At 41.5% G+C, this 19478-nt stretch overlaps 1 protein-coding gene across 4 annotated transcripts in view; it reads left to right on the top strand.

Annotated features, from left to right (window-relative positions):
* The window catches only part of CDYL2 (chromodomain Y like 2), a 207131-nt gene that overhangs the window by 163781 nt on the left and 23872 nt on the right, over positions 1-19478 (top strand). For all 4 annotated transcript variants that reach the window (XM_011522866.2, NM_152342.4, XM_011522867.3 and 1 more), the window contains exon 3: positions 8021-8238. In XM_011522866.2, the coding sequence (XP_011521168.1) occupies positions 8021-8238 (218 nt within the window). The remainder of the gene's footprint in view (positions 1-8020; positions 8239-19478) is intronic.

The following is a 19478-nucleotide window of genomic DNA, read 5'->3' as shown; positions in this document are numbered from 1 at the left end:
CCATATGTATTAAAGCTCCTACATTGTGTGCTATTTGTTTCTTTTTTCTTGCTGCTTTTGGAATCTTTTCTTTATCCTTGAGCTTTGGGAGTTTGACTATTGAATGCCTTCAGATAGCCTTATTTGGGTTAAATCTGCTTTGTCTTCTGTAACCTTCTTGTACTTGGATATTGATATCTTTCTCTAGGCTTGGGAAGTTCTCTGTTATTATCCCTTTGAATAAACTTTCCACTCCCATCTTTTTCCCTACCTCCTCTTTAAGGCCAGTAACTCTTAGATTTGCCCTTTTGAGGCTATTTTCTAGATCCTGTAGGCATGCTTCACTGTTTTTTATTCCTTTTTCTTTTATTTCCTCTGACTATATATTTTCAAATAGCCTGTCTTCAGGCTCACTAATTCTTTCTTACGCTTGTTCAATTCTGCTATTCAGAGTCTGCTGCATTCTTCACTATGCCAGTTACGCTTTTTAGCTACACAATTTCTGCTTGATTCTTTTTAATTATTTCAATCTCCGTGTTAAATTTATCTAATCGAAGTCTGAATTCCTTCTCTGTGTTATTTTTAATTTCTCTGAGTTTCCTCAGAACAGCTACTTTGAATTCTCTGCCTGAAAGGTCACATATCTCCCTTGCTCCAGGGTTAGTACCTGGTGCCTTATTTGGTGAGGTCATGTTTTCCTGGATGATCTTGATTCTTGTAGATGTTTGTGTCTGGGAATTGAAGAGTCAGGTATTTATCTCTCCCTGTAGCCGCCACAGATGGGAATGTGCTGAGTCTCACCTGAAGCCACCAAGTCTCGGAGTCTTACCCAAGGCCCTCAACGTGGTACCTGTATATTGCTGCTGGTTATTCAGGGCTCTTCAGTTAGCAGGTGATGAATCCTTCCAAGATGGGATCCTTCCCTTGAAGGCAGCAGGTTCCCTTCTGGCCCAGACTGGGCCTCATGACTCTGACCAGTGCCCCATCCTGCTGTGACTGAGCTGTTATCCAAAATGCAAGACAAAGTCCTCCCTACTCTTCTCTCTCCTCTCCTCAAGTGGAAAGGAGGGATCTCTTTTGGATACTTGAGGTGTGCAGTCTGGTGTTAGGAGAGCGGTGATACCAGCACTCCCTTAGCCACCCCAGCTGGTGTCTCAGTGGATTGTGTGCCCCCTGAGTCTACTGGCTCTGGGCCCATTGCGGGACTAGGATTGGCCTTGGAGGTCTAGCCCTTGTGGCCTAGACCACCTTTCAGGTTTATCTAGGGCCCCAGAGCACTTTATCCCATTGTGGCAAGACTTGCAGGAACTCAAGTTCTGACCACTGGGATATCAGTGATTCCCCTCTGGCTAGGGCTGGTCTAAATGCTCCGTCATTGGGTAGACGTCAGCTGAGTTTGGTATGCTTTTGCTTTCTGCTATAACAGGACAACAGTGAGTTCAATGCCTCACAATTGCTACACTCTCCCTTTCCACAGTGCACAAACGTGCTTTCCATACCACACTACTGCTTCAGGGGGAGGGGAGAGAGGTGGCGTTTGTGATTCAAGACTGTTTTTCTTACCTCTTCGGTGCTTCTTTCAGCAATATGAAGTTAAAACCGGGTCCTGTGAGTGCTCACCTGATTTTTTGTTCTTATGAAGGTATTTTTTTTTGTGTGTAGACAGTTGTTAATTTGATGTCCTTGCAGGGGGGAGGGTACAATCCATGGAGCCTTCTATTGTGCCATCTTGCTCCATTCCCTCATAACTCATTTTTTATTGCTGAATAATGTTGCATATTATGAATGTACCACAGTTTGTTTATCCCTTCACTTATTAAAGGACACAATGGTTGCTTCCAATTTTTGGTGCTTTGAATAAAGCTGCAGTTTTTTGTGTTTTGGTTTTGTTTTGTGACTATAAGATTTCACATCATTATGGTGAATGCGTAGGAATGGTGGTTGCTGGTTGATGTGGTAAGACTAGTTTAGCTTTTTAAGAAAAGACAAAACTGTCTTACAAAGTAGCTGTGCCATCTTATATGCCCACCAGCAGTGAATGAGCATTCCTGTCACTCGGCATCCTCTCCAGCTATTGGTGTTGTTGGGTTTTTGGATGTTAGCTAGTCTAATGTGTGTAGTGGTACCTCCTGGCTTTAATTTCCTTGCTTTAGTTCCCTAATGAAAAATGATGGTGAATGTCATTTCAATATGCTTGTCATCTGTATAACTTCTTTGTTGAGGTGTCTCTTCAGATCTTTTGCCCATTTTAAAATTATTGAAATTATTTTGTTTAAATTATGTTCTTTGTAATGTCCAATTTAAAAATTTTTTATTTCACGGATCATGTTTTTAGTGTCTTATGTAAAAAGTCATTGCAAACCCAAGTTCCCTAGGGTTTCTCCTGTACTATCCTCTAGGAGCTTTATAATTTGCATTTTACATTTAGGTCTATGATTCATATTGAGTTAATTTTTGTTTGCAAAGTACAGAGTTTGTGTCTAGGTTCTTTTTTTTCCCTTTTTCAAATGGATATCCATTTGTTCCAGTACAATTTGTTGAGAAAAACTATCCTGTCTCCATTGAATTGTCTTTATTTCTTTGCCAAAGATCACCTCGGTATATTGCTGTGGATCTATTTCTGGGTCGTCTATCATATACCACTGATGCATGTATCTGTTCTTTCAGCAACACCACGCTGTCTTGATTACTTTAGCTTTATAGTAAGTTTTGGAATTGGGTAGTGTGAGTCCTCCAGGTGGATTCTTACTCATCAGTATTACCTAGGTCTTTTGCCTTCCCAAATAAAGTTTAGAATCAGTTTGCCAATATCTACAAAATAGCTTGCTGGGATTTGAATTGGGATTACATTGAGTCTATAGATCAAGTTGGGAAGAATTGACATATTAAAAATATTGAGTCTTGGCGAAGTGTGGTGGCACACGCCTATAATCCCAGCACTTTGGGAGCCTGAGGTGGGAGGATTGTTTGGGGTTGGGAATTTGAGACCAGCCTAGGCAACATAGTGAGACCCTGTTCTCTGCGAAAAATAATAAAATAGCCAGGTGTGTTACCACATGCCTGTAGTCCCAGCTACTTGGGAGGCTAAGGAGGGAATATAGTTTGAGCCTAGGAGGTTGAGGCTGCAGTGAGCTGTGATAGCAGCACTGTACTCCAGCCTGGGTGACACAGCAAGACCTTGTCTCAAGAAAAAAAAAAATGGAGTCTTTCAATTCATTAACACAGATTATTTCTCCATTTACTTAGATTTTCTTTGTTTCATCAGAATTTTACAATTTTTCACATATGGCTCTTATACATATTTTGTTAGATTTATATCTACGTATTTCCTGTTTTGGATGCTGTCATAAACAATATTTTTTAAAGTTTTAACATTTACGTATAATAGTTGTACATATTTTTGGAATACGTGTGATGCTTAGATACCCGCATAGGATGTGTAATGATCAAATCAGGGTAATCAGGGTAATTGAGATATCCATCACCTCAAACATTTGTCTTGTGTTTGTTTTGGGAACATTCCAATTCTTCTGTTCTAGCTACTTTGAAATATACAATAAATTATTGTTAAGTATAATCTCTCCATTGTACTATTGAATATTAAAACAGTATTTTTTTAAAAAACATCAAGTTCCAGTTGCTCATTGCTGGTATGTGCAAAAGTAACTGACTTTTGTCTGTTAACCTTGTATTCTGTGACCTTACAGTATTTGCTTATTAGTTCAGGAGTAATTGTTTTTCTTTTTTTCTTTTTTCGTTAATCCAGTTCTTTCGTACTTTCTATGTAGACAAGTCTTGTCATCTGTGGACAAAAATCGTTTTATTTATTTCTTCCCAAACTTTATATACTTTTATTTCCCTTAAAAATGTTTTTGCAATCGCTAGGACTCTCAGTGTGATATTGAAAAAGAGAGAGAACATCTTTTTCTTATTTCAGATCTTAAGGGCAAAGCATCCATTTCTCACCGCTAAGTAAGACATTATCTGTAGGTATTTTGTAGATGTTCTTTGCCAAATTGAAGAAGTCCCTTTCGTTTCCCCCTTTTTTTTTTAAGTTTGTGCTTTTTAGGAACTAAAAGATTTTTTTTTAAATGTATACATATACAGAACGTGCAGGTTTGTTACATAAGTATACACGTGCCATGGTGGTTTGCTGCACCTATCAACCTGTCATCTATATTAGGTATTTCTTCTAATGCTATTCCTCCCCTAACACTCCACCCCCAGACAAGCCCCGGTGTGTGATGTTCCTCTCCCTGTATCCATGTGTTCTCATTGTTCAACTCTCACTTATGAGTGAGAATATGCGGTGCTTGGCGTTCTGCTCATGTGTTCATTTGCTGAGAATGATGGTTTCCAGCTTCATCCATGTCTCTGCAAAGGACATGAACTCATCCTTTTTTATGGCTGCATAGTATTCCATGGTATATATGTGCCACATTTTCTTAATCCAGTCTATCGTTGATGGGCGTTGGGGTTGGTTCCAAGTCTTTGCTATTGTGAACAGTGCTGCAGTAAACATACGTGTGCATGTGTCTTCATAGTAGAATGATTTATAATCCTTTGGGTATATACCCAGGATGGGATTGCTGGGTTAAATGGTATTTCTAGTTCTAGATCCTTGAGGAATCGCCACACTGTCTTCCACAATGGTTGAAGTAATTTACACTCCCACCAAAAGTGTAAAAGCTTCCTATTTCTCCACATCCTCTCCAGCACCTGTTGTTTCCTGACTTCTTAATGATCTCCATTCTAACTGGCGTGAGATGGCATCTCATTGTGATTTTGATTTGCATTTCTGTAATGACCGGTGATGATGAGCTTTTTTTCATGTATTTGTTGGCTGCATACATTTCTTGAGAAATGTCTGTTCATATCCTTTGCCCACTTTTTGATGGGGTTGTTTGGGTTTTTTCTTGTAAATTTGTTTAAGTTCCTTGTAGATTCTGGATATTAGCCCTTTGTCAGATGAATAGATAGCAAAAATTTTCTCCCATTCTGTAGGTTGCCTGTTCACTCTCGTGATAGTTTCTTTTGCTGTACAGAAGCTCTTTAGTTTAATTAGATCCCATTTGTCAATTTTGGCTTTTCTTACCATTGCTTTTGGTGTTTTAATCATGAATTCTTTGCCCATGCCTATGTCCTGAATGGTATTGCCTAGGTTTTCTTCTAGAGTTAGGCTTTAGGTGTTACTTTTAAGTCTAATCCATCTTGAGTTAATTTTTCTATAAGGCATAAGAAAGGGGTCCAATTTCAGTTTTCTGCATATGGCTAGCTGGTTTTCCCGACACCGTTTATTAAATAGGGAATCCTTTCCCCATTGCTTGTTTTTGTCAGATTTGTCAAAGATCAGATTGTTGTAGATGAGTGGTGTTATTTCTGAGGCCTCTGTTCTGTTCCATTGGTCTATATGTCTGTTTTGGTACCAGTACCATGCTGTTTTGGTTACTGTAGCTTTGTAGTATAGTTTGAAGTCAGGTAGCATGATGCCTCCAGCTTTGTTCTTTTTGCTTAGGATTGCCTTGGCTATACAGACTCTTTTTTGGCTCCATATGAAATTTAAAGTAATTTTTTCTAATTCTGTAAAGAAATTCAGTGGTAACTTGATAGAGATAGCATTGAATCTTTAAATTACTTTGAGCAGTAGGGCCATTTTTACGATATTGATTCTTCCTTTCCATGAGCATGGAATGTTTTTCCATTTGTTTGTGTCCTCTCTTATTTCCTTGAGCAGTGGTGTGTGGTTCTTCTTGAATAGGTCCTTCACATCCCTTGTAAGTTGTATGCCTAAGTATTTTATTCTCTTTGTAGCAATTGTGAATGGTAGTTCACTCATGATTTGGCTGGCTGTCTGTTATTGTTGTGTAGGAATGCTTGTGATTTTTGCACGTTGATTTTGTATCCTGAGACTTTGCTGAAGTTGTTTATGAGCTTAAGGAGATTTTGGGCTGAGATGATGGGGTTTTCTAAATATACAGTCACATCATCTGCAAACAGAGACAATTGGACTAGGAAGTCCCTTTCTATTGGATTTTGTGAGATGCTTTTTCTACATCAATTGATATGATCATATGGTTTTTCTTCTTTTAGCCTATTGATGTGGTGGATCACATTGATTGGTTTCCAAATATTGAACCAGCTTCTTATACCTGATTGTGGCGTATAATTCCCTTTATACATTGATGTGCTAATATTTTGCTGAAGATTATTTTTCCATCTGTGTTCATGAGAGATATCAGTCTACTATTCTGTGTTCTTGTAATGTCTTTATCTGGCTTTGGTATTAGGGCAACTCAAGCCTCATGGAATGAATTAGGAAGTGTTCCTCTGAACCTGTTTTCTGGAACAGCTTTTGGAGAATTGGTATTATTTGTTCCAAAAATGTTTGGTATAATTCTTTGGGCTTGATGCTTTCTTTGTTAGCTTATTAATTATTGATTCAATTTCTTTAGTAGAAATTCCTTCAATTTCTTTTTTTTATAGCCCTATTCAGATGAGATGATGTATTTCTCCTTGTGTATATTTTGGAAGTTTGTGTCTTGATTAAAGAAATTTCATCTAAGTTATCAAATACATGGGCAGAGCAGTTTTTCTTAGTATTTCTTTATTATCCTTTTATTTTTATTTATTTTTTAAATTATACTTTAAGTTCTAGGGTACATGTGCACAATGTGCAGGTTACATATGTATACATGTGTCGTGTTGGTTTGCTGTACCCATTAACTCTTCATTTACATTACATATTTCTCCTAATACTATCTCTCACCCATGTCCCCACCCCACGACAGGCCCTGGTGTGTGATGTTCCCCGCCCTGGGTCCAAGTGTTCTCATTGTTCAATTCCCACCTATGTGTGAGAACATGCGGTGTTTGGTTTTCTGTCCTTGCGATAGTTTGCTCAGAATGATAGTTCCCACCTTCATCTATGTCGCTGCAAAGGACATGAACTCATCCTTTTTTATGGTTGCATAGTATTCCATGGTGTATATTTGCCACATTTTCTTAATCCAGTCTATCACTGATGGACATTTGGGTTCTTTCCAAGTGTGAGCTATTGTGAATAGTGCCGCAGTAAACATATGTGTATATGTCTTTATAGTAGCATGATTTATAAGATCAATAGTGATGCCCCCTCTTTCATTTCTGATATTGGTAGTTTGTGTCTTCCTTCCCTCTCTCTTTCCCTTTTTTTTTTTTGGACGGAGGTATTTGGGAAGTGTTTTCAAAATACACATTTGAGCCTCTTCCTATATCTGCTTCCGATGGAGGTTTGGGGGTGTTGGCTTGGCCTTGCTTTCTTTAGCACATCCCAGAGCTCCTGATGTATCCTGTGTGAGGCTGGAGACTGGGAACCGTTATACATCTGGATCATTCTGTTTTTAGTTTTCAAACCTTTTCAGGAGGGCACTTTCAGGCCATTTGTGAATGTTAATATGTGAAACAGAAAAATGCAAAGCCATTGTAATTGATTTGCGAGAGGAAGAGAGAGACCTAAGGATACTGCCTGCTTGGTATTCACCCCTCTCATCTCAAGGCAGCGCCTGAGGAAGCCCTAGGGGGGTCCCAGAGCCCCATCTCTGGTTCTCATATTAAATAAGGTCATGCTCGTGAATGTATTTGAGGGTGGTGCTTAGCACATAATACGGGTTGGTTAAAGGTTAGCTGCTGGTCTTGCTCTTATTGATAATTTCCTATGATTCATAGGCATCCACCAGTGGAGAGGGCTGCCTCTCAGGGTGGTCAGTGGATTCCCTGTGGCCAAGGAATCTGAGCAGAAGCTGATATATGGGAGAAGAGAGTAGAGGACCGCACAGGGCCTTCACAAAGAGCCCTCTAGGTCCCCTTCTGAATTTGGAGATGCAGGAATTCAGCCTGTCTCTTCACCTTCCCTCTTCCTAGAACAGAGGGTGGCACAGGGGAGAAGGTGGTGTGTCCCAGCACATCCAAACCTTTCCATTGGAAATCCCAACGTCCTCTGATCACATCCTTCTAGGATCGTGGTCCATTTCAGTTTCTTACATTGTTTATCTGGTTTTGGAAGGCTCTGCTCTGACCAACGGGGGATTGAACCTGCACAGTCCAGTGAAGAGGAAGCTGGAAGCGGAGAAGGACTACGTCTTTGACAAAAGGCTCAGATACAGTGTCCGCCAGAATGAAAGCAACTGTCGGTTTCGAGACATCGTTGTGCGGAAGGAAGAAGGGTTCACGCACATCCTGCTGTCCAGTCAGACCTCGGATAACAATGCCCTGACACCTGAGGTAAGGGGTGGCGGCCAGAGGGAAGGGCAAGCTGGGCTGTGGCTCCTTCTCACTCAGAATGGAATATTGGCTTTCTCCTTCCTTCCATCAGGGAGCTGAGGATGGTAACTAGCGTGCATAAAAACTTGACTGCAGCGCGCAATTTGCTCATCATTTTACATACATTATCCCATTTGATCTTTATGACCGTGTAATGATACCCTCTCATCTTATGGATGAAGACCATGGGGAGAGGGACTCACTGAACTGATCGTGGACACAGACTTAGCCAAGGGGCAGACCCAGAATCCAAACATCACATCTTGGGCTTTTCCAGCTAAACTTTGTTGTCATCAGCATGTCATATTTGTTGGCCGCAGATATAATTCACTCAGTTAATGTATCTCACTCAGTTTATAATACATATATATGTTACTACATATTGTATATATAATTGAGACAGATTGATTTCACATACCATAAATGTCACCCTTTTAAAATGTACAATTCAGTGATTTTTAATATATTCACAAGATTGTGCAAGCATCATCACTACTGAATTCCAGAACATCTTCATCACCCCAAGGAGAAACCTCACCCACATGAAATAGTAACTTCATTCTCCTTTCTCCCATGCCCTGGAAACCACTCATCTACTTTCTGTCTCTGTAGATTTGCCTATTCCGGACAGTTTGTATCAATGGAAACGTGCAGTTTGTAGCCTTTTGTGTCTGGCTTTTTTCACTTAGCATGTTTTCATGTTTCATCCATGTTTTAGTGTGTATCCATACTTCATTCCTTTTATGGCTAAATAATATTCCATTGTATGAATAGACTATATTTTATCTATCACCTTTTCTATTTGTTCGACTTTTGGCTTGTTTCTACTTTTGATTTTTATGGATAATATTTCTACAAATGTTATATACAAGTTTTTATGTGAACATATATTTTCAGGTTTCTTGGATATATTTCTAATTTCTAATATGATTTTCTTGAGTCTATTCCAATTCTTAGAATTGCTGGGTCATATTGCTTACCGTATTTTTCGAGGAACTGCAAAAACTGTTTTCCACAGTGGGTCCCCCATTTTACGTTCTGACCAGTAGTATGTGAGGGTTCTAGGTTCTCTGTATCCTCGATAACACTTGTTACGTCTGTCTTTTTTATTATAGCAATACTAGTGCATGTGAGGTGGTATCTCATTGTGGCTTTGGTTTGCATTTCCCTGATGACTAGTCATGTTGAGCATCTTTTCATGAGTGCATTGGTCATTTATCTCTTCTTTCTATTCACATCCTTTGCCTATTTTTAAAATTAGGTCACTTTTCTTTCTATGGTTGACTTTTAGGCATTCTTTATTTACTCTAGATAGTAAGGCCTTATCAGATACTTGACTTGAAAATATGTTCTCCTATTCTGAGAGTTGATGTTTTACTTTTTTGATAGTGCCCTATGACAAACAAATTTTTAAATTTTGATAAAGTCTGTTTTACTGCTTTTTCTACATTACTTTTTAAATATTAATCATGCTTATGTCTTAGATGAATAAAATAGGGAAACAATGAATACTTAATGCAGTGAGATTGACAACATCATTCAAAATACAGGGTACATGGCAGGAGAAGGGAACAGATTCTTGACGGCACAAAGGTGGGAAGATGCTCCACGAAGCAGCCTTTTCCTACAAGATGCCTGGGGTAGGGCAGTAGAGTGGTAAATGGCGATAACAGTGATGACAGCCACTGAACAGGGGCTCTTTGTTCCTTGTATTTGCTGTTTATCTCATGTCATTTCGTCACCTCCCTTCTGATGTAGGATTGTTATGATCCACATTGTATAGATGAGAAAATTTAGGCTTAAACAACCCAACTGGGCTAGGGTCTCACAGCTTAACCAAGTAGGTGCCAGGAGGGCAGGGGTTCTGTTCTTGCTCGCCCTTTTGTCTCTTCTGTTCATCCCAGTGCCAGGCCCACTGAAGACATTTAACTCCGAGACCCCTTTTTCTGTCCTTGCAATATCCTGTATTCTCTTTTTCATAATAGCAATGGGAGGTTAATGAGAAGGGTATGTTTTGGAGGATGAAGTCAAGGGATGGCCACTCACTCACATCGGGATAATAGAATGACCTAGCATTGTCCAGTGTACCCCGTACCATCAGGGAGGCATAGGAAGTGGGGTGGGGAGGGAGGTGCTGTGCTCTTGAATTTGTGATTGCATTATTATTATGGTTGAAATAGACCCTGGTTCTTTTACGGGGTTGTGGGTGCGGCCATCTGGAATGATTGACAAATGGTGAGGGAAGCACTGTGGCTAAAGCTTTGGGGTTGTGGGGTAGTGGTTGTGTGCTGCCCCTTCTCTGAGCATGGTGTTTTGGGGGCCTCTCCATCCTCCGCCTGTAACAGAAGCATCCCTGGGGTTCTCTGCTGTGTAGACCTCTGTGTGGGATTCAAAGAAGCCCAGAGCCTGCAGTCCACCCCGAAAGCAGCTCTTCATATGTTTATACACCTGGAAACCTCATTATTTTAAGCTCATCATGACATCTGCAGAGACCAGTTTTTCCTAGATTCTTTCTACTTCACTACTTTCTAAAAGCGTGCTCTAAAAAGGCACAGCATTTTCTTTCAAGAAATTGAACACATGTGAAGTCTCCAGTTCATTCCCTCTGTGGAGCAGCCCTGGGTGGTAACTGTTGCCCACTCATCATGGAAAACATGTTGTGCTCGTCTGATTTAAGGTGCACAGGTTCTCACCTCCTGAGCTGCGGGCTTGGTTAATTGGGGTTCCTGCCCTAATCAGTGTCAGTTGGTTACAGAACAGGAGGAAAACAGTCAAAGTTATTGATCTGGTATTTTCAGCTGTCTCAACAACTGAAGGGGATTGAGTATGTGGGTGAGCCAGCTGACTGGGTAAAGCAGCCCGTAATGAAGGTCCTACTGAAATGAAGAGGCTGTGTGAGAGGAGGAATACAGGTTTTAGTCTAGCAGACCTGGCTTCCAATCCTCCCTTCAACTTACCATGCTGTTACCTTGGGAAGTTACTTTGCTGCTCTGAGCTTCCTCCTTTATAGAAATTTTACAGTATTTTGCTGGCAAGATTAGAGATAATGTATGCACAGGAGCCCACAAAGTACCTGGCATATAGGAGGTATGTAATAAATGTTCCCATCATTGTTAATGGGAAGCAGAGGCCATTTAATGTCCACCAGCAGACATTGCCTTGCTTGTGAATGGAGGAACCAGAAGGCGACCACTTTCATGGTTATAATTAAGTTGCTTTTTCTAGTTGTATGTGTAACATTGGTTGGATTGGCCTCATGGGCAGAAATTCATACATTACTGTGTGCATTAAGTAGATTCTGAAGCTAGTGGGTTTGCTGTAATATTTCTCCTGTCTGGGATACAGCAGAGAACCAGGAGATGAACAGAAATGCCCCTTAAGGAAAGAGTCAGTGAAACAGATGACACAGTCTCCTTGATTGAAAGCTTATCCACTTCCCCATTGGGAGAAGACTCCAGGTCTTCCTTCAGTGCCCTTGGCCTCAGCCCACAATCCTACCACTACTCTCAGGAACACAGCAGACATGCAGGAGTCCCTTTTCACACCGCTCTTGTCGTGGCCCCATGTGCAAACCTGTCTCAAGGCCGGTTCACCTTTATTCTTGAATAGCTCTTTCATATGTTTACTTCTATTTCCACCATAACCATTACAGTCCACTACTAGGCTATTTTGTCTGGACTGCTGTAATTAGCCGTCTCATAAGTCTGCCTCCTTTCATGCTTCCTGCCCTGTAATCCATTCTGCATAAGGCAGGCAGAATGATCTTCCAGAAATGCAGCTGTGGCCAAGTCAACCCTTTATACACACACCCCTCCCCAACCAAATGTGTCGATGGCTCCTGATTACCCTGGCTGACAGTCAGAACCCTCAGCGTGGTGCAGTCCCGCCTCATCGTGCAGCCCACCTCACATACCTGTCCTCCTGTACCTCAGTCACCTGGTTTGCTTTCATGCTTACACCTGCCCCGGGGCCTTTATATGTGCTCTGACTGGAACGGGCCTTTCTTCCTCCTTGCTTCACTCACTCTTGCTCTTCCTTCAGGTCTCAGTTCACCCATCACTTGCACAAGTCTTATCACAGTTGTTAGTCTACATGTATTTGTGGGGTGACTTGTTAAATGTCTGATATCCCCCCCCTCCTCCATTAGACTGTAAACTTCTTGGGGATAAAGACTGGCATTCTCTTAATTCAGTAAACATTTGTTAAATTCTTTTATGTGAAAGGGTCTGGACTAGGTGCTGCAAGGGATATAAAGATGGTAAGTATGCTATTTTAGCTCTTGTGGGATTGTATTAGTTATCTATAACTGTAGCAGATTGTTTTAAACTTAGCATTTTAAAACAGCACACGTTTATTGTCTCATAATTGCTGTGGGTCAGGAATCTGGGCATGGCTCAGCCAGATGCTTCCAGCTCAAGGTCTCTTACAAGGCTGCTGTCAAGTGGAGGCTGGGGCTGCAGTCTCACACGAAGGCTCAACTGGAGGAGAATTCACTTCCAAGCTCACCCACGTGGTTGTTGGATGCATCTGTTTCCTGCCATGTGGGCCTCTTCTGAGGGCTACTCATGACAAAGCAGCTTTATTCCCTCAGAGCAAGAACTCCAAGAAAGAGCAAGAGAGGATGATCCTTTTGTCACCTATTCTCCTCCTGAAGATGACCTGCCATCATTTTGGCATCTTCTGTTGAAGCCAGTTGCTAGGTCCAGTCTTCTCTTGAGGGTGGGATTTACAGAAGAGTGTGAATACAAGGGGTTTAAATCACACAGAAGGCAAGATGCAGTAAGGAGGTGCACATTCTACAAGGGAGTTTGTCAGAAGAATCACAACAAGGATTTAAAGTATTCAGGGTTTTGGGAGAAGGGAGAGTATGCATCTAGTCTAGGGTACGGGGAAATCTCCCTTGAAGGTGGTTGCATTTGAGATAGGCCTGGTGTGACTGGATTTCAGCAGGTACAGATGAAGTATAAAGAGAAGGACCCTGATTGATTCCTCTTTTACATCACATTCTAATTAATTTGGTTATCTGGGTGTAAACCCACGCCGGATCCAAAGCTAGAGGTCATAGAGGGGGAGTCTGTTCTCTCCAGCAGACAACTAATAGCAGGTGCAAGTGACAGCTAGGAAGTGCATAATGAGGGCAATGAATGTACAGGACATATTTAGGACTTCAAAATGCATAGCAGTCTGGGACTATTTGTTATAGAATCACATCCCAGAAGCCTCTAAGAAGAATTTTCTGTTATAGGCCAGCAGGTGACCATTGAGAGGTAGTTATATGCATACAGTATATTCTGTTTAAGAAGGAAACAGAATGTGGACTAATTTCGGAACATTTTACTTTAAATGAACCAGTTACATTATTAAATTTGGGGTCTTTCAAGAAGGTAGAATCTTAGCCATCTGTCCAAATTGAATTAGCAACACCAAAAGGAAAGAAAAGAGATATAAACTAGATATAACTTTTTTAAAAATGAAAAACAGTATAGTTTGTACTTTTGTATCAATAAAATGCAAATTTATTTTCAGTTTAATTCATAAATGAGATGGCTGTTTTGTTTGGTCTTTTATTTATTTTTTCTTAACGAATTGAGAAGTAGGTAAGTATGGCCTTAGCCAGAGAAGCTACTCTCTGAGTCATCTATAGAATTTCAGTTCACCTCTTTACAGCAGGGTTTCTTTTTTTTTTTATTTGCCTCTCAGAGAAATAGAGTTCATGTATAGGTGAGAGTATATCTATTTCTGGAGGCAGATGGATTAAAGGACCCACAAGATAGTGGCCTGTGAGCTTTTTTGATGTTCAAAATGAATATCTGTTGCTTATACCCAGATAGGCTGGAATGTGCTTATTCCATCCTTCCAGCAGGGCACAGGGCTGGAGATTCTCAATTCAGATTGACATCCAGCCCTGTTTTTTCCACCAAAATCCTATCCATTAAAAAAAATCATCCAACAGTATAAAGTAGGAGAAAGTAAAGGATGGTTAGCATGAGATTTAAATCATGGTCGTGCCTCTTACTGTTGGTGTGACCTTGGACATCTTACTGCACCTGTCTGAGTCTTCATGGTGTCACTTGCAAGGTTGAGATACCATCTCCTACCTTACCAGATTTTTGTTTGGAATAAAATTCCTGGTGCAATTCCTGGCACTACTAGGTGCTTAAGAAATGGAAGTTCTTTTAAAACTTTAACCTTAAAAAACAGTATTTTCCCAGTATCCCCCTAACTTCCATACACCGTGATGATGCCTGTGGAGTCTTTAATAGTGATCCTTTGGAAGTTTGCTCACTTATCATCTCTTCTGTTAGCCTCTAAGCTTCACCCAGGCACACGCCATGCCTTGTTTTCTATCACTATGTACTTTCTGCTCTTGTTTTAACAATCCAGTGATTGGGTGTTCTTTATTTTATCCTCCTCCCCATTCATTATAATTCATGTATTTTTAAGAAGTTATCCCTAAATTATATACACATAGCAAAGGCTAAGAGTAACTACCTCCACCACTTCCGAATATAACCTTGACATGCTCCAACCCTAGTCATTCCTCCTCTCATCCTCTACAATATTATTGCCTGCTACTACAGTTGTACGCCATACCAACCCCTGCCCTCAAATTAATGAATATCAGTATTATGATTTTTATAGTCAGTTTTTTTTTATTAACAACACATTCACCAATTTTTTCCTTTTTTTTTTTTTTTTTTTTTAGATGGGATTTCATTCTGTCACCGAGGTTGGAGTACGGTGGTACGATCTCGGTTCACTGCAACCTCTGCCTCCCATCCTTCTGCTGAAGAGCTGGGACCACTGGCATGCACCACCATGCCTGGCTAATTTTTTTTTTTTTGTATTTTTAGGAGAGTTGGGGTTTCATCATGTTGCCCAGGCTGGCCTCGAACTCCTGAGCTCAGGCAATCTGCCTGCCTCAGCCTTCCAAAGTGCCAGAATTACAGGTGTGATCCACCAATTTCTTTGCTGGTTATTATTCCTTGCAGGTCAGTTTTTGTTTCTGAATATAGTTTCTTTTTCTTGAAGTACATTCCTTTTTAGTTCTTTTAGTGAGGGTCTAAAAATGGTAAACATTCTTTGACTGAAAATGCCTAATTTTTACCCTTCCTTTTAAGTGAATTTAGCTGAGTGAAGAATTTGTTGACAGTTGTTTTCCTCAGCACCTTGACAATTGTATTCTGCTACCTTCTGGAATTTATTTCTGCTATGTAGAATTTGCCTCCGGTTAAATATTTGCCCTCTGTAGGTAAGCTTTCTTTTTCCTCTGGATGTATTTAAGGTTTTGCTTTGTCTTTGATGTTCTGAAGTTTAAATATGATATGTCTGTGCTTGCGTGTATTGTTATTTCTATTGCTTAGCTTTTTGTTGTAGTTCTTAAATTTTAGTATTCAAGTCTGTGGTAGATAGAAGCCCTCTCCCCAAGATGTTCATGTCCAAATCTCCAGAATCTATGACTATGCTAGGTTCCATGGCTAGGGGGATTTAAGGTTTCAGATATACAATTAAGGGTGCCAGTTAGCTGACCTTAAAATAGAGAGTATTCTAGACTACCTGGATGGGCTCAATGTAATCACAAGGGTCTTTAAATGTAGATGAGAGAAGCAGAAGAATCTGTCAGAGTGACACAAACTGAGAAGGTGAGGAAGACCCAGCTCGGCATTATTGCCTTTGATGATGGAGGAAGGGGCCAGGAACCAAGGAATGTGGGTGGCCTCTATAAGCTGGAAAAGGGAAGAAAATGATTCTCCCTTAGCGCCTCCACAAAGGAATGCAGTCTTGCTGACAACTTGATTTTAACCCAGTAAACCTGCATCAGACATCTGACCTAAGGGACTATAAGATAATAAGTTTATGTTATTTTATGCTGCCAAATTTATAGTAATTTTTTACAGCAGCCATAGGAAACTAGTGGATCTTTCATCAATTCTGTTAAATTCTCATCCTTTATCTCTTTCAATATTGACTTTCTCCTCTTCTCTGTGATCTCCTGATAGAATCCCTACAGCACCAATTTTAAATCTTAGCATTCTTGTCTTTAATCTCTCCGTTATATTTTCCATCTCTGTTTTTCTGTGCTACGTTTTGGTCAATTACTTCAGGTCTTTCAGTTACTTTATGCTCCCTTTAGCACCACCTAATCTGCTGTTGATCTCAGCAGATGTCCATGACTTTGTTTTTCATTTCCAGAAGTTTCTTTTTCTCCTCAAATCTATTTTTTCCCCATATTCTCCTGTTCTTTCCTTATTGTTCATGTCTGTTTTCCTCTCTGTGATTATTTGAAACATCCCTATTTTACAGTCTCTTTTGGATCCTTGTATTACTTGAAGTCATGTTATGTAATCCGCTCATTTGCTGAGTATGCCAACTTGTATTTCCCAAGTGTTTTGTGATTTTTGATTGTGAGCTCATCTCCTGCTAGGGTTTTTTTTCCTGTGTAATTCCCATGCGGTCTGGGTTGCAGCTTCTCCCCAGAGTACTTTTACATTCATTTCCATCAGACACCTCAGGGATATTACTAGCCTGTGTCCAATTTCTGTGTTAATTTTTTTATCTTGTGGATTCTTCCCCATGTGGGTGTGGTAACTCAGAACTTCAAATCCACATACAGGGCAGGTATGGAGTTTTAGCTTCTCATGGGAGAGTTTTCCTACAGCAAAAATAAATTATTTGCTGGAGTGGCTTGTCCTGACTGTGGTATGGCAAATAGGTAGCAGAAGGACTAGAAGGGCTGAGCCTGTTTGTGGTAAAGCCGATTCCATCATAGGCTTCCTGTCTCCAAAGCCTGTACCTTTTCAGCCTGGCCAACTGCCTTGAGTCCTTGTGAATACCAGGCACCCAAGAGACATTGTGTAGTCTAGATACGCAGTGTTGCTGCAAGGTTGTGATTGGAAGGAGTCGGGGAGTATGCAGGGGTGTGAGGGGGATTGCTTCAGTCAGTACACAGACTTGGAGGGTCTGGATGATGCTTGGGCCTCAGAACGTAGCATGTGGCAGGAGCTCACTTTCAGATCCTGGCTCCATCCTAAAATCCACAGTCTGGGAGGGGAGAAGGATCTGCTTTCCCCTGGGCATCACAGAGCTCATTTCCTGCTGCTCCCGTAGCCACACTGCTATCATGTGGAGGTCTTCAGATGAAAAGCCCTGATGCTTTGAGAGGCAGCCTAGCCTGCGGTGAAGGACATGGTCCCCAAAGTCTGACTTCCTGAGTCCTAGTCTAGCTCCACCCCATACTTGCAAACTTCTCACAGTGACTGTACTTTGATTTTGTCATTCATAAAATGGAGCTTCAACAAGTGACTCCCCCAGAAGGCTAAGTGAGTTCATATCGTAAAGCAGCACTTCTCAAACAATAACATGCATATGAATTTCCTGCAGGTCCCATGAACATGAAGAAACTCATCCTGTCGGTCTGGGCTGGGGTCCAAGACTCTGCATTTCTAGGCAGCTCCTAGGAATGTGAAGCTGCTGGTCTAAGGACCATACTTTGAGTAGTGAGGTTTGAAAGTGCTTGGGGCAGAAGCTGACCTGTTCCGTAGGGTCAGTATATAAACGGGGACATCTTGCAGGGTATGTGCCATGCACTGCACTAAGCAGTCTACTTGCATCTTGTTTGTTGGTTCATCTGAGGTAGCTCTGAATTTTACAAATAGGGAGACCAGGAGAGGCTATTGATTTCACCCCAGAACACCCAAGATACTGTGGGGTAGAAGTGGAGCTTGTGCCCAACCGTAGCCCCAGAGGCGCATGTGGACCTTCTGGAACCCCCTGTCATACGTCGGGGCTGGGGCTTTAGACTCTGCATTTCTGGCCACCTCCTGAGGGATGTGTTGCTGCTGTTCCAAGGACTACACTTTGAGCAGCGAAGTTTGAAAGTGCTTGGGGCAGACAGAGCTTGTACCATCTCCGCAGGAAGCTTTGAGCTGGCCAGTCTGTTAGTGCAGGCTCTGCCACTTCCTGACATGTTGCTTTGAGAAAGTCACCTTTCTCTCTGAGCCTCAGTTTCCCTTTCTATAAAATGGAGCTAATAATAATGCCCACCTCACAAGGGGTTGGGGGTGCAAGTACTCATGGGCAAGTGCTCTGTAACCTTCAGGCTCATCCAAAAATAGTTGCTCATGTGATGAGGAGCTGAATAGCCGGGCTGCATGCCTTTGAAGAGCGCAAACACAGTTAGCTTTCATGGGGTGCAAACTTTTTGGTGGCAAACTCTTTACAGTCTTTTAAATGGTTTTCACAGGTGCCTTTTGAGTTGGCCTTGTAAAAGCTTCTAGGTGGGTGAGCAAGCAGCCTGCCTAATTTCCTCTGAAGTTGAGGAAAAGGGCTATGAGGGAGTTTCTGTGTGACTAAACAAGCAGATACTGAGTGTCCACCATACCCCAGGCACTGTGCTAGGCTCTGAGTATACACTGGAGAATAAGAGAGATGCAATTCCTGTCTTTATTAAAATAACAGTTGAGCAAGTGTGGACAAATAAAAGGCAGGAAACAAACAAGTAGTAGGTAAGACAGGTAAATGTATGATAAATGAAGAAAACAAATGGGGGTGCTGGGCAAGGGAGAATAGGGGGAGGAGAATAGGGTGGGTCATAAAAGGACCTTCAGAATCAAGGAGCCTGGGCAACCCCACAAGGGGTGGGGAGATTGGCATGTGCAAAGGTGATTAGGTGAATATAGGCTTGGCCCAGGGAAGACGTTCAAAGAAGGCTGCAGGGTGGTAAATGGGAGCTCTGGGCTCTCCTAGCTGCCCCACCCCTGCCTGTCCACCCCTGGGCTGGCTGCGTGCTCTGGGGCTGAGTCCTCTCCTTCTCCATAAATGGAAGGCCATGGCCAGATAGTGGGAATTTGCAGTGTCAAAGTGCATAGACTAGGCATTGTGTGAGCCAGGCCAGGGCTCAAATCCACCTCTAACACTTACCAACTGTGTGGCCTTGGACTAGTGTTACGACCCCTCTAGGCATCTGTTTCCTGGTCTGGAAGTAAGAATAGTGACCACTCACTGGTGTTGGGGAGGCTGGAACCCATGTAGCAGGGTACCTGGCCTGCAGTACATGTTCACTGCTAAGGTAGCACTTGTTGGTCTTACCACTTACCGAGGGCACCTGTGTCTATCTCCCAAATTCTGTCCTGCCCTCCACCTGCCTAAGACAAGGTCATAGAGACCTAAAAATCCTAGGGCATACATGCAGGAGACCCAAG

This window comes from Homo sapiens, chromosome 16 (assembly GCF_000001405.40).
Source record: "Homo sapiens chromosome 16, GRCh38.p14 Primary Assembly".
NCBI classification, from domain to species: Eukaryota; Metazoa; Chordata; class Mammalia; order Primates; family Hominidae; genus Homo; species Homo sapiens.
Note: the sequence above shows the minus strand (reverse complement) of the source record. Positions and strands in the feature narration are given on the sequence as shown.